The sequence below is a fragment of the Homo sapiens genome, chromosome 21 (assembly GCF_000001405.40).
Source record: "Homo sapiens chromosome 21, GRCh38.p14 Primary Assembly".
In the NCBI taxonomy this organism is placed as follows: domain Eukaryota; kingdom Metazoa; phylum Chordata; class Mammalia; order Primates; family Hominidae; genus Homo; species Homo sapiens.
This window is the reverse complement of record NC_000021.9, coordinates 42,351,477-42,366,627: the sequence shown is the minus strand read 5'-3', so window position 1 is coordinate 42,366,627 and position 15,151 is coordinate 42,351,477. Positions and strand designations below refer to the sequence as shown.

Genomic DNA, 15,151 nt, shown 5'->3' with positions numbered 1-15,151 from the left:
AGGATCCCCGGGCCTCCTTAGGCAAATGTTATCTAACGCTCTTTAAGCAAACAGAGCCTGCCCTATAAAATCCGGGGCTCGGGCGGCCTCTCATCCCTGACTCGGGGTCGCCTTTGGAGCAGAGAGGAGGCAATGGCCACCATGGAGAACAAGGTGATCTGCGCCCTGGTCCTGGTGTCCATGCTGGCCCTCGGCACCCTGGCCGAGGCCCAGACAGGTAAGGCGTGCTTCTTCCTGCTCTGTGGGGCCACAGCCAGCTCTGGCAGCCTCCGCCAGGAGCCACTGTTTTACATACATATTTTTGAGCACCTGTTTTGTGCCAGGTGCTGTTCTAGGCCCTTAAAAGTATATCCAATTTACAGGATCGGCAAAAGCAGGTGGAGAGTAACTCAGGGTGGCAGGGCCCCCGGAGACCTTCGAGAAGTGCGACGAGGAGGGGGCTGCCTTCAGTCGGGGCTGTTTTCCTGTGTTAGGAAGACTATACAATCCTCCCAAGTGTCATGTTTCAAAGAGGAAGTGTTGGCGTGGGGTCTCAGAATAGTGCTTTTGACTGTTCATGCCAACATCTCCCCCAGGGGCAGACCCTCCCAAGGCCCATCCAGATAGGCCCAAATGCCGGTCCCAGTGATGGCCACCTGGGAGACCCTCTCCCACAGGCCCGAATGCCCGTCCCAGTGGTGGCCAACTGGGAGACCCTCTCCTACAGGTTCCTGGGCTCCCCTGGGATCCATGCTCTGGGAGTCAAAGCCACCTCTCTCATGAGTGCGTGGCTGGCAACCCATATTCCCTGGTGTTGTCAAGTGGATCGGTTGCCCTGGGTCCTTCTAGGGAGTGGAGGAGGAGGCCATTCTTGCTTCCTTGGGAAGTGTTTGCATCTCAACTCCTTTACCTGCAGAATGGATCAACGGTCTGCCCTAGGGCTGTCAGGAAATGCTGTGTGGCAGCATCTGCGACTTGCACTTTGCCAGCTGTGGGGAGCTGAATAACTTATTTGCCGTTATTAGGTACAGTTTCAAGGTGGGGGCAGGAGAAAGGGCTTTCTACGTTTCCAAAGCAAGGGTTTCCAGAGAGGCCTGAAGAGGGAGCGCCCAGTGGTGCTGTCCGTGCCCCCACTGCCCTCCAGCCACCTCTTGATCTCTGCTGTGGGGTACCGGGCCTGAGGGGTGGGCTTGGGCAGCGTAGAAGAGCAGCCAGCATTGGGCTGCAGTGGGAAGACCCCCAAGCCCATGGCAGGGAGCGGGGGAGCTTTGGAACCCGAGAGAGGAAGTGGCCTCGGTGTACAGAACGAACTGGGTGGGTCCCCGTGCTGGCCACCCCCAGGCCCATCTGCCTGCGCCCTTGCCCCCACCCCAGCCCCCAGCTCTGCCCCCTGTGCTGTGGGATCACAGAGGCCGTGGCAAACTCCCCTCCCCACCCCACACACCCTCTGGCTCAAGGCTCAGAGCGTCTTTGCGGGTCACTCAGGTCCATGATCCTGTTACAACTGAAATCTAGAAAATTGTGATTACAGTTTAGTGCATTCGTGTGTGGAAACCATTTCCATTTATTTCCATCATGCGACAAAGACAAAGCGGGTGGGCAAGACAGAGTCTGCCGGAGGCAGAGCACCGGGGCTGGAAATCTTCCTCCCTGAGGAGGAAACCCCCCCGACCCCCAGGATGATGATCCTCCCTCACCACGGGGCCTCTCTTGACCCCCACAGTGTCCCGGGGGTGGGCGATGATCACCTTCACGTCGCGATGGATCCAGACCCCAGGAGGGCAAGGTTCCCATGGAAGCTGCTGGGCAGCGGGAGCTGAACACGGATCCTTCCCAGCAAGCCAGGAACACTTTCTCCAAAGACATCTCGAGGCAGTCCCTGATAGCAAAGCAGACAAGAGAACAGCCCCTCTCGGCCTCCCCTGGGGCGCCCTCACCTGAGCCAGTGTGGCCAGACTGAGTTCCTCCCCTCCTATGCCCCAAGGCAGGGACAGGGACCGGAGGGTGCTCTGGGCTCCTCTTTCACCCCCTGCTGCAGGCTGTCAACCACCAGATCCTAATAGGTTGCTTTCTGAGACCTTTGATTCCGCGGAGCTCAGAGCCTGAAGCTCTGGTGTTAGAACCTCTTGCATAAGATCCTGCGGCAGCCCCCAGCCAGCCCCATCTGTCCACGTGTCTTCCTCCTCTAGATCCCTTTCCTCACTGCCCTGCTTCAAGCTGTTTCACAGCTTGTACCCTCTGTCGGCTCCTCCTAGACCACCCCACCCGGTCCTCTCACCTTACCTGCAATGGGTTTCCACCTCCTGAACACACCTGGGTCTCTGGAATGGCCTTTGCCCATGCGGCTCCATCTTCACCTGGTGAACCTCCTCCTGCAGGGAGCCCCCCTGCTTTGTTCAACCTGCTTGTCATTGGCCTCTCCGGGGAGTGCCCTACCCCCGTGGTTACCCTGGGCACCCTGGGACGATGGCCTTGCGTTGTCTCGCACATGTTCTTGCCTTTCTCCTCCATCAGATCCTTAGACTCTTTTTTTTTTTTTTTTGAGATGGAGTCTTGCTCTGTCACTCAGGCTGGAGTGCAATGGTGCGATCTTGGCTCACTACAACCTCTGCCTCCTGGGTTCAAGTGATTCTCCTGCCTCAGCCTCCCAAGTAGCTGGGATTACAGACGTGTGCCACAATGCCCGCCTAATTTTTTGTATTTTTAGTAGAGATGGGGCTTCACCATTTTGGTCAGGCTGGTCTTGAACTCCTGACCTCAAGTGATTCACCTCCTTCAGCCTCCCAAAGTGCTGGGATTACAGGCATGAGCCTGGGCCCAGATATTTAGACTCTTATTAATGACTTCTCTGGTTTTAATTTCTGGGTCTCTCTCACCTGGCACAGTGCCTGGCTTTTGCCATGCTAGCTCCCACTTCTCATGCACACAAATGGTGCTCAGTAAATATTTATGTATTGAGTAAAATTTAATAATCATTTGTTGAAATTAAAAAGTGAATAAATAAGTTACCTAGAAAGATGCAAAGTCCACAAACCTGGGGCACCTTGCATTTTCCCTGAGCGTAATGTTTGCACATCAGGATGTGAGGACCACGTCTCCCTCTCATGTCCTGAGGGTTTTATATCCGCCTCACTGGACAGTTGCTGATGTCATTGGAGAAGGAAGCTGGATGGGTGTGTGCATGATAACATCAAGGAATTCAGCCCACAACTTACTTTGCTTCTTACCTGTGCACTTTCAGAGACGTGTACAGTGGCCCCCCGTGAAAGACAGAATTGTGGTTTTCCTGGTGTCACGCCCTCCCAGTGTGCAAATAAGGGCTGCTGTTTCGACGACACCGTTCGTGGGGTCCCCTGGTGCTTCTATCCTAATACCATCGACGTCCCTCCAGAAGGTATGGCCTTTTTATACGATGGGTTCTGAAGATTTAGAATTAGTTAGAAAAGTCATTTAAGACTACAGAGGCTCTGATCAGCATCACCAGCTATGCCTTTACACAGAGTCACGGCCGCCAGTGGTGGTGCAATGGGGTAGCCTGAGTCAGGCTGCATTCAGGTCCAGGAATAGAAAGGCAGGGCTAAGGGACTTGGGAAGAAACCTGATTTCCCCCCGGCTTCTCTTCACATCTCTAACCAAAAGCCTGGGAAGAGCCACTGTTGGTAACGCTTTCTAGCTTGCCTAGGATAGAGGGGGAAGGCATGACGAAATCTGAAGACATTTCATGTATTCTTTTTTTTTTTTTTTTTTTGAAATGGAGTCTCGCTCCGTTGCCCCTGAGCTGGAGTGCAATGGTGCGATCTTGGCTCACTGCAATCTCTGCCTCCTGAGTTCAACCTCAGCTTCCTAGTAGCTGAGATTACAGGTGTGTGCCACTACGCCCAGCTAAATTTTTTTTGTATTTTTAGTATAGACGGGGTTTCACCATGTTGGCCAGACCGGTCTTGAACTCTTGACCTCAGGTGATCTGCCCGCCTCAGCCTCCCAGAGAGCTGGGATTACAGGCGTGAGCCACCGTGCCCGGCTGACAGTTCATGTTTTCTAAAGAATGTGCCTATGGATACTTTAAAGTAAAAACTCTGTAATTGTTTAAATGTGAAAGAAAATGTTTATCCTCACTAAAGCATCTCTTTCTCCCTCCCCCTCACCCCTGTAGAGGAGTGTGAATTTTAGACACTTCTGCAGGGATCTGCCTGCATCCTGACGCGGTGCCGTCCCCAGCACGGTGATTAGTCCCAGAGCTCGGCTGCCACCTCCACCGGACACCTCAGACACGCTTCTGCAGCTGTGCCTCGGCTCACAACACAGATTGACTGCTCTGACTTTGACTACTCAAAATTGGCCTAAAAATTAAAAGAGATCGATATTAATCTGTGCTGTTCATTCTTTTAAAGAATATGAATGATTTTCCTTTCTTTGAAAGTGAAGCGCAGCGTTTCACCCTGGGCTCTCGCAGAGGTTCTGCATCTTCTGGGCTTCCTGAGCTGGGATACAAGTGGGCAGCTGAGTGCAGAAAGCAGGGATGGTGGGGTGTACAGTAGGACAGTGGGGTGTGCAGTAGGACAGTGGGGTGTGCAGTAGGACGGTGGGGTGTACAGTAGGACAGTGGGGTGTGCAGTAGGACGGTGGGGTGTGCAGCGGGACGGTGGGGTGTGCAGCAGGACGCAAGTCCAAGACGCACTCTTGTCCAGGCATGAAAATGGACACCGACTCCCCTGGCATTTCTTAACTACTCACTGCGGATGCCCCAGCGACCAAGTGACACAAGTTAGCTTTCCGTTTATTTGCTTTCCCAAATAGAAATTGGCGTAGGAGATGAAACCTGTAGCAGAATGTCTGAAAGCATGTGTAATAAAAATTGCAGAGGGTGGCATGGACTGACCCCTCCAGGAAAACCCCTCCCCAACCTCAGATCTGAACGAACTAGAAAATAGAACAGCAGAGGAGGGATACAGAAGCCAAAATGTCACTTTATTCCCACTGGCCCCTCTGTAGCTTGGCAAGGATTGGGAGAGGGTGTCCCCCCAACCTAGTCGTCCTTGCTCTGGGGACCTCAGCTCAGCAAGCCCCAAGCTAAATGCACCCTGGGTTCCTCCTCCTCCCACCTGTCCCTCCATCTGGTGCTCTTGTGCTGGGCACACGTTGCACAGTTATACTGGAGATGGGATCCCCCGGGAGCTCTGGAAAGCTCCTGCTCTCTGCAGCCAGACGGTTCCAGGGAGGAAGAGGGAGGTGCAGAACTGAGCGGGGCCAGCTCTTTCCACATTAACCAGTCTGGCAAATCATTCCCAAACCCTTGGCTACCACGTTCAGCAGATAAAGAGGCCTGAGAGGCCGGGAGACACCCACCAAGAAGAACCATCAGGAACGGGAAGCCCCCTGCCCCCTGCACACAGCAGCACACACATGAGCCGTAATAATACATATGTCACGTATGTGTCAGGGGGGCCACAGACACCTCCTCTTACCTCTCAGATGTGCAAGGAAGTTTTAGCTTTTCTTTTCCATCTATGGTATGTCTGATCTTACACTCTCTGTCTGCTAATTACAGGTAAAAATGAGCTAACTTTATTTAGTCCAATTCCTCTTAAAATTCAGTTTGTCATAATAATTTGCACAGCTTCTGTCAGTCACAGTCTTTGGGAACGCATTGCTCAGTCTCTTACCTCGCTCTACTCCGTCTTGCCCTCTCTACCCCTGGGTGGGGTGAAGGAGCCCCTGGGGTCTGCCCATGCCCTTTGGATTCCTGCTGGCTCACTGTGGAGCAGAAGCTGGGGGTTCTCAGAGCCCAGCTGGTGTGTGGCCTGTCCGTTCTTCCCACAGTTCTCCAGTGTCAGAAAGGTGGGCTTTCCACACAACATCTCGTAGCTGACTGTTTCCTGGCTGTCCACCATCCGTTCTTTCTTACCTAACTTGCACTCTACGAAGGAAGGGGGAGAAAGAATTCACTTTCCCAGCCCCTCTTTTAGCCAGAAGTGGCCGTGCAATTCTATGTGGCCCATGAGACATAGGGGGCATCTCCTTGAAGGTGGGGCAGGCTTCTCCCTTGATGAATGAAGAGCGCCCTCTGGCTTCCTAGGCCAGCCCTTGCAGCCTGCCTTTGGGTGTTGTGGAAGGTGGGTGTGATGTGGTGTTGCAGGCAGCCATTATGTAATAATGAGGTAAGGCCCAAGACCTAGAGCCTTAATAACCCTGAGCTACTGATTTGAGCCCCCCACCCACCTTGAGACATCATGTTAAATAAACCTAAGTGTGCTTGTGGGTTAAATCACTTCTGGTTTGGTTTCCTGTGGCATTTCAGTATATTACCAAGGCCCATATCTTCCATCTACCACAGAGCAGTGAGCCTATGGCCCAGCCACGATGGCCAGGAACAACCGCTCTCACCAAGGACTGTAGGCAGAGCCAGTTAACAAGGTGGGTCACTGCCTTCCTGTGGTTTCCCTGGGCCTCCACTCAGTGGAGCCTGGGCAACAGGGCAAAACTCTGTTTCTACTAAAAATACAAAAACTCGCTGAGTGTGTGGTACATGCCTGTAGTCCCAGTTACTAGGGAGGCTGAAGTGGAAGGATTTCTTGAGCCCAGGAGGTGGAGGCTGCAGTGAGTCGAGACTGTGCTACTGCACTCCAGCCTGGGCGACAGAGTGAGACACTGTCTTAAAAAAAAAAATAAAAAGCACCCTTCCACTTCAGATCTGCTCAATGGAGTTACATGTCAGTTTACACTTTTCTTGTAAGCTGCTCCTTGGCTTGCAAGCAGCACCCTTGTGCTGCCTCTTCCCATGCTTGTCTGTCTGTGTGTCTGGGGTCTGTGTGTCCAAATGTCCTCTTCTCATAAGGACACCAGTCAGGTCGGATTAGGGCCCACCCTAACAACCCCATTTTAACTTGATAAAAGAAAAACTTGGGCAGACGTGGTGGCTCATGCCTGTAATCCCAGCACTTTGGGAGGCTGAGGCGGGCAGATCACCTGAGGTCAGGAGTTCGAGACCTGCCTGACCAACATGGAGAAACCCCATCTACTAAAAATACAAAATTTCCCGCGTGTGGTGGCACATTCCCATAATCCCAGCTACTCGGAGACTGAGGCAGGAGAATTGCTTGAACCCGGGAAGCGGAGGTTGTCGTGAGCTGAGATTGTGCCACTGCACTCCAGCCTGGGCAACAAGAGTGAAACTCCCTCTCAAAAAAAAAAAGAAAAGAAAAGAAAAGAAAAAAAAAGAAAAGAAAAGAAAAGAAAAGAAAAGAAAAACTTCAGCTGAATTACATTTAAAGAAGTTTAATTGAGCAAAGAACTATTCACGAATCGGGTAGCCTGCTGAGTCAGAGTAGGCTTAGACTCCAGCACAGTCACGGGGTGGAAGCAGATTTATGGACAGAGACAGGAAAGTGAGGCACAGAAAATGGATATGAGGCACAAAAACAGCCCGACTGGTTACAGCTCCGCCTTTGCCTCACTTGAACGCAGTTCGGACTGTTGGCTGCATTTGATTGGTCAGAACTCGGTGACTGGCACCTCAGTTCGGACAGTTGGCTGCATTTGATTGGTCAGAACTCGGTGATTGGCACAAGTGTAGGCTACGGTCGGTTTACGCCTCCACCTGTTACAGTTCACGATGTACAGAGAAACCTTTAGTCCAAATTTAAAATATGTAAGGGGGAAGCTTTAGGCTAAACTTGATTTCACAATTTTAATCACCTCTTTAAAGGCGCCTTCTCCAGATGTGATCCCATTCTGAGGCGCTGGGGGTTCCGGCTTCAACATAGAAGAACAGAGTTGGGCCGTAACAGTGGTATCTGTTACCTGCAACCAAGGAGCCCTGGCCCATGCAGATTATTACAGAGTGCTGTCACCACTGTGTGAGATAAGGCAATTCTGCTGTGGGAGGCAAGAAAACAAAGTGGATTTTGGGAAACTGGAGGTATGTCAGGTGCATATGGGGGCACACATTCATAAGGAGTATTCAAGGTGGACAGTGAAAGAGTGGTCTTCTGTGAGATATGCTGTGTGATGAGAAGGATGGAACCAACAAGAACGTCATTAGGGAGAGAAAAGGATGAGAAGGCCGCATCACAGGGAACCGATGGTGTGCTCTAGGCTGACAACTCCTTCAGCCCTGAACCAGCAGCTCACGGTGACCACCCACCCTGCGCTTGGCCCCGGAAATGCGCAGTAAACATGGGCTGCTCTGTGGATCGTGCGGGGCTGCAGCTGAGCTCACAAGCCCTCCCCCAGAATCTCTTAGACAAAGCAAGAGCATGTGTTAGCCCCAGGCTCCCTCCACCTCCTGGTCCCCAGCTGAGATGTCCATTACTATGACCCTGGTGGAGAAGGTGGAGAGACGGAGAGGATGCGTGAGTTCCTCGTGGCCAGAATTCAGGCATGTGGTCCTTCTACCCTCCCACACCTGTATGAGGTGTTCACCTTCTCTTTCCCTTCATTTTTCACTACGTGCTGTCAATCGATTTAATAAATAGCAGGTTTCACACCTTAATTTGGTCTATGCACACCTCTGTTCTGCCACTGGCTATGTACTCGGAGGCCACAGTTGCTTCTAGATAATTTCCTACACAACAGGGTTCTGTTCAGGGCATTTATTGAACTAAAGGTCAGACCAGGAACTAATTCTCGAAGGCAAGCTGTGGCTTAAGTTCATATTTGTAGGGTCACTGGGAAAGATATCGTTAACTTAAGAAAACTCCCTCACCTTTCTTTGCAAGTAGAGGGAGGGGTGGTTTGTTGCAATATTTAATTTTTATGAGTCTGATAGGAAACATCAGCTCATAAGAAAGAGACACACACCTGGCAAATCCCAGTCCTTGTAACTTACCAGAAGGAAGGGATGGCCATTAGGAAGAAGGGGTTCCCTGACTTAAAGGTCCAAGTAGACAGAAGACACCAGTTGGTAACACAAGAATAAATAGTATTATTTTTAAAGGATTTCTGACTTGTTCTTTTCAGCTCTTAACAGTGCCCTGAGCTGGACATTTTTGAGGTAGCAAACAGACTAAATTAGACCAAACCATACATGCCCACACATGCACGTGCTACAAGGGGACTCAGTGAAGCTAAAGGCAAGTATTGGAAGGATTTTCTACATTTCATCTGATCTAGTCTATCAGTGTCGAGAAGTGGGAAGGGCTGAGCTTATTATATCCTACGTGCAAGCCAGCAGGTGAGTCTGCCAGTTTCCTGTTTGCTAGCAGAAGACAGGAGATTCCTGGTTCAAAGATAAATGACTTTATTACTCATGCTACAGCAAGCAGCATGAAGAAAGGTTACTTGTGTTGGTTCTCTTTGCCTCCAAGACCCCCAAGGGACTGGGACCAGGAATGGGCTCAGATGGGTGCCTGCACACACAGTGGGTTGCCTTATAGGAGAGAAGCCCTGGACTTAGGGATCCAAGTGTTTTATAAGGGACAGTGAGCTTGCCTGCTCTTTGCTTCAGAGGGAGACACTTTATCCACTTTCCAAGATTGTTTGTGACCCAAACATCCTTGGAGAGATAGTCTGGAAGAAAGAACTGTTTTAATTGCCTCCCATGCATTTCGTTAGTGAGGGAGGGATTTCACCCTAGGATGATGGGATGACTGAACACGCCATCCCCAACACAACATAGGTGAGAACAATAGCAGTTTGTGAGTCCCATATCCTTATAGCTCAGGGGCTGAGGACACTGTGCCATGTGGAGCCACACAGAGGTGGCATTCAGGAGCAGAGTGAATAAGCAAAGGCTGCGGAAAGCAGGCTTTGTAGTATCAAGAGGGCGTAGTGGCTAGTGGTTCTCCCAGGAGGATGCAATTGGCTTGTTTAAATAATTCTGTGGGCTGGCAGAAAACTGAAATCTGCTACTCACGGATAAGCAAGCACGGTGCCTGATCCCTTGACAGGGAGGGTTGTTTGGCTAGGGGACCTTATCCACGAGTAGAGATGGGAGGGGAACTTTCGGTGAGGCTGCTTGAGGCCCTCTCTGTTTCACCAGATGTCAAGGCAGTACTTAATATTGTGCCTTAAGTTTAGGTCTTATGCCATAAGGATAGTTAGTTTCTTATTCACAGGATGTGCAGAAATGTGAGAACTTTATGGAGAACTGTCTCCCAACAACCAGTATACTAAATATCTTAATTTCAGGACAAGATTATAGAGGGAGGAAAAAGGATTAAGGCTCACAAGGCTCATTTCTGTAACATTTTCTTAAGAAAAATAGAATACAAATATTTCCCTCCATTGTTATTTTTAAATTTTATTTTTAGACAGCTTAAGGCTACAATATAGGGGTATGTGCAACCTCTCCTGAGTTCAAGTGATTCTTCTGCTTCAGCCTCCTAAGTAGCTGGGATTGCAAGCATGAGCTACCATGCCTGACTAATTATTGTATTTTTAGTAGAGATGGAATTTCACCATGTTGGCCAGGCTGTTCCTGACCTCAGGTGATCTGCCCACCTAGGCCTCCCTAAGTGCTGGGATTGTGGCGTGAGCCACTGCAACCAGCCTGGATTTTTTTAAACGGCTAGATAGTAAATATTGTAGGTTTTGGAGGCCTTACAGTCTTTGTCACAATGAATCAACTCTGCAATTGTTCTGAAAGCATATTTTCAGAGTATAGAACTTTTCCCTAGCACTTACACATGTTATCCCATTGTCTTCTGGTTTGCATTATCAGATAAAAAGAAATACTTGATCAAGAATGAGTGTTGAGTAAATAATACTGTGTTATCAGTCATTATTGTTATTATGTTCTCCTCCATGCTGTATGTCTTTGTCTTAGCCTATTTTCTGTTGCTAAGTTGAAACTGGTCATTTATAAGAAATGAACTTCATCTCTTACAGTTCTGGAGACTGGGATGTCCAAGGTTGAGGGGTTGTATCTCTTGAGCGCCTTCTTGCTGGTGGGGACTCTCAGATGTGTCCCAAGGCAGCCCAGGGTATTCCATGGTGAGGGCGCTGAGTGTGTTCATGTCCTAGCACAGGTCTCTCTTCTTATAAAGCCACCAGGTCCCCTTCCACAATAACCCATGAATCCATCATCCCATGAATCCATTAATTCATGAGTGGATTAATTCATTCATGAGAGCAGAGCTCTCACGATCCAATCACCTGTTAAAGGCCCCACCTCTCAATACGGCCACATTGGGGATTAAGTTTCGACATGAGTTTGGAGGGACATTCAAATTATAGAAGTCTTTTCCTCCAGCTGCTTTAAGAGTTTTTTAAATCACCGGATTTTCAACAGACGAATCATGCTGTGCCTTGATGTGATATTTTTGGTATTTATCTTCCTTGAAGTTCTTTGAGCCTCTAAGATTTGTAGGTTTATACTTTTCACCAACTTCAGAAAAATCTAATGAATATTTACTCAATACTCATTCTTGATCAAGTATTTCTTTAAAAGATTTTTTTCTCTCCTCTCCTACTGGTACATCAATTACATGTATGTTAGATTGCTTGACATTGTCTCACCGGTCATTGGAATCTTGTTTATTTGTTTAGCCCTTTTTCACTTTATGCTCTAGTTCGCATAGTTTATCTTGCACTGGCTTCACTTCAAGTAAACTGACCATTCCTCTGCAGCATCTAATAGTATCTAATCAAAAACCCATACAGTGTATTTTTCATTTCAGATGTTGTATTTTTTATTTCTAAAATTTGTACCTGGTTAATTTTTAGTTTCCATTTATCTACTGAGATTCCTTTTTGTTCCTTTATTATATTATGTTTTTCTTTCAATCTTTGAACATTTTATGCCATGTCTAAGTCTGTTTTTGTTCACTGATTTTTCTAATGATTATGGGCCATATTTCCTAGTTCTCTCCACACATCTAGTAACTTCTGATTTTCTGTTAGACGTTAGGGATGTTATGTTGTGTATTTAGGTTTTGCTGTCTTCATTAGTAAAGTGTTGAATGCTTTGCTCTCTCAGGTAGTGTTATCGGTTGAATTATTTCCCCCAAATTCATATATGAAGCCTTAAATTCCATTACCTAAGAATGTGACTACATTTGGAGACAGTGTCTTAAAAGGGGTAATCAGGTTAAAATGAGGCTCTTAGGGTGGGCCCTGGTTCAATTTGACTGGTGTCCTTATAAGAAAAGAGTCGCCAGAGATGTGCGTGCACAGAGGAAAGACCATGTGAGATATGGGGAAAAAAAGCCATCTGCAAGCAGAAAGAGGCCTCAGTAGAAACCAGATGTGCTGACACCCTATCTTGGACTTCTGGGCACCAGAATTGTGAGAAAGTACACTTCTGTTGGTTAAGCTACACAATGTGTAGTATTTTGTTACAGCAACCTGAGTGAACTAATACAAGCAGTTAATTTACTTGCAGGTTAACTTGATTCCTGCAAGACTTGTTTTAAAGTTTTGTTCGAATGGATTTTGAGTAGCTTTCCTCTAGAAAGATCAGCCTTCTTTTTACGGCATGGCCTTTATTGAATGCTTGAAGTGGTCAACACCTCTGGCTGCTCTGAGCTCAAATGCTTTCCAGCCCCACGAACCCTACACTAGTTGTTCAGTTTAGCCTCCCCAGTGATTGTTCTGTCCCCAGGGGCTACTTAGCCTGGCCTTGTGGGCACGAACAGCATAGTATTTGATGAAAAGCTCAAAGGACACACTTTTATATTTCTGGAGCTTCCTTCTCTTACCTTGATAACCCGCCTGCCTCAGAAGCTTCCAATTCTGACCTCTGTCTCCTCAGCCCGATGGGACTTCAGTGCTATTTGGGTTCCCCTCCCTGTGCTGTAGTCTGGAGAGCGTCTCCAGGAAACCAAGGCAGCCATGGGACTCCCCCTATTGTTTCCCTTCTCTCAGGGATCGCTGTCTGGCACTGCCTGCTGCTCAGCATCTGCAGACTGTTACTTATGTAGTTTTAGAGTTACTCATGGTGGGAGGCTAGCCTGGTACCAGTGACTCCATAGTCAAAAGCGGAAGTCCACATGGGTGATAGCTGAGGTGGTTCCCATTTGTTGACTTTCTATGTGAACTGATGGAAAGTATCATCCCCAAAGTGTGCAAAATGGAAGTGAGCAGGGGTGGAGAAGGATAAACAGAAAGAGGAGGGCGCCAGCCCTGAGTGCCTGGATGGCGCTGAGATCATGCGTTGAGAGTGGCAACAATTCAAGGTAGGTGTCGGCCATGCTAGGCAGATGGCATAGGCACAGAGACAGTGGGAAACAGCAGTGAGGAAGACGGTGGGTGAAGTGAGCACTGTGGAAATCAGGCTGGAGAAGCAGGAAGGAAGGATAGACAGGAGGGGGCTCACAGGGGAATAGGGGATTGGAGGGCTTTAGGATTCAGACAAAGGGAGAATGTTAGGAGCTTAGGACATCCTGGGCAGAAAGGACATTTGCATACCCTCTTTCAGAGGTGGAGCTCAAGTTCTGAGTGTGGTCATGGGAGGGTGGCAGAAGTGGCAGAAGTGGAGTGGAGATGGAAGTTCCTAGAGATGAGGAAAAATAAAATCTGAGCGACTGTGAATTTTGATGAAACATCGACCGCCATGTTGAAGATGGCTGGGATGTGGCCAAGTCTTAGCATGACAAGGAACACAGTGAACTCAGTGCTGAAATTCTTAACGAAAGGGACAGGCTGCACAAAGGTCGGCAGATGACAGCAGGGCAGGGACTCCGGACATGGCGCCCTTCCCAGCCTGCATCTCCAAGGAGGATGGTTTTTGCATGAGGGTGAAGACTTGGGGCTCAAAGTCAATGTCCAGCCCCCAGTCTGAGCCCATGTGATGGGGACGTGGCCACCAAGTACAGTTGTGGAGGTTGTGAACAGCTCCACTTTCAACTAGCGATGCCACTCTATTGCAGACGTCCCATCTCGTGTAATGGTTTCCCAACTCTGTGGGCACTCAGTGTCCCTGCGTGGGGGCCTGAGCAGGATTCCAGGGAAGCATGCCTATGACAACACAGGCTTCCGCCAGGGCCAGGAGAGTGAGAGAGGCTGAGAAGTGGTCTCTTTTGCATGGGTCAGGTGGTCGCAGCAGGAATCCTGAAGGGGCTGCAGTGAGCGGTGGGAAGTCGAGTTGATGGGGAGGAAGCAGAGAGGAGAGGTGGGTGGGAATATGAGAGAAAACAATGACTCAGTCACTTATATCATGATGGTGACTAAAGTGACAGGGATGTAGAACAAGGAAACTGACCTTGCCAGAGTTTTCATGGATCGAGTCCCTGTGGTTGCCCAGTGGTGAACAGTCAGCAGAGAGCCTGGAGGTACTTGACCCGGACCCAGAGGAGCCCTGGAGGATGGAGCCTGGAGGACGGGGGCCTGGAGAATGAGGGTCTGGAGGACGAGGGTCTGGAGGAACAGGGGCCTGGAGGACGAGGGTCTGGAGGAAGAGGGCCTGGAGGACAGGGGCCTGAAAGATGGGGGCCTGGAGGATGAGGGTCTGGAGGATGAGGGTCTGGAGGAGCAGGGGCCTGGAGGATGAGGGCCTGGAGGACAAGAGCCTGGAGGACAGGGGCCTGAAAGATGGGGGCCTGGAGGATGGGGCCTGGAGGATGGGGGCCTGGAGGACGGGGGCCTGGAGGATGATGGCCTGAAGGATGAAACCTGGAGGATGGAGCCTGGAGGATGGAGCCTGGAGGATGAGGGCCTAGAGGATGGGGGCCTGGAGGACAGGGGCCTAGAGGATGGAGCCCTGGAGAATGGGGGCCTGGAGGATGGAGCCTGGGGGACGAGGGCCTGGAGGATGGGGGCCTGGAGTATGGGGCCTGCTCTCCAGACCCTGAGGACAGCCCCGTGGTGGACCAAGGATTTTGGGTTTCCTGCGTCTCTGGGCCCCTGACTGCTCAACCATCAGAAACAGACTGGCAACCCCCTGTCATTTCCCTGGCGTGGGGAACTTCGGGTCCCCTCTGTCCTTCCCACCACACTTTTCCCTCTTTCTTTCCGGGTGTCTACTCTCTGGCTTCTGTCTTCTCTGTCAGGTCCACAGAATCCTTCTCCAGCACATCCTACCCCAGGAAGGCCATGGGCTGGGTCCCAGGTGCCATCTTTCAGAAGATGTAGAGCATTCCCATGGAACAAAAATAACCCATTTCAGGGGTTGGCTGAAAATGAACTTATTAAAACCTGCCTGTCACAGGCTACTCCGCTGACCCTGTCAGCCTCATCTCCATGGAGAGCAGCCCCTCCTGCTGAAGATGGGACAAAGGGCATCGTGCTGCGGTTG

The 15,151-nt window shown here is 49.9% G+C and overlaps 1 protein-coding gene and 1 long non-coding RNA gene across 5 annotated transcripts, besides 1 other annotated feature; one reads left to right on the top strand and one right to left on the bottom strand.

Moving 5' to 3' along the window:
- Positions 1-92: 92 nt before the first annotated feature.
- On the top strand, positions 93-4,346 carry TFF1 (trefoil factor 1). Its single transcript, NM_003225.3, has 3 exons — positions 93-217; positions 3,221-3,373; positions 4,133-4,346. Exons 1-3 carry the CDS (start codon positions 133-135, stop codon positions 4,147-4,149), a joined length of 255 nt encoding a protein of 84 aa, NP_003216.1. The 5' UTR covers positions 93-132; the 3' UTR covers positions 4,150-4,346.
- LOC105372815 (uncharacterized) lies at positions 1,516-14,335 on the bottom strand. 4 transcript variants are annotated; one of them, XR_007067875.1, is made up of 4 exons: positions 13,327-14,335; positions 7,675-7,854; positions 2,263-3,398; positions 1,516-1,858 (listed from the first exon to the last, which is right to left on the bottom strand). It is a non-coding gene; the product is annotated as an uncharacterized LOC105372815 (long non-coding RNA). The 4 variants fall into 4 exon arrangements; XR_007067876.1 differs by having other exon boundaries at positions 1,516-3,398; positions 13,327-13,977; positions 14,120-14,335; XR_007067877.1 differs by having other exon boundaries at positions 1,516-3,398; positions 13,327-13,411; positions 14,120-14,335.
- Positions 4,649-5,148: an enhancer, noted in NCBI's record as "H3K27ac hESC enhancer chr21:43781589-43782088 (GRCh37/hg19 assembly coordinates)". NCBI's record gives its function as "activates a minimal SCP1, AML or CMV promoter by ChIP-STARR-seq in naive H9 embryonic stem cells {active_cell/tissue: H9 hESC(naive)}" and the evidence as "EXISTENCE:reporter gene assay evidence [ECO:0000049][PMID:30033119]".
- Positions 14,336-15,151: the final 816 nt, after the last annotated feature.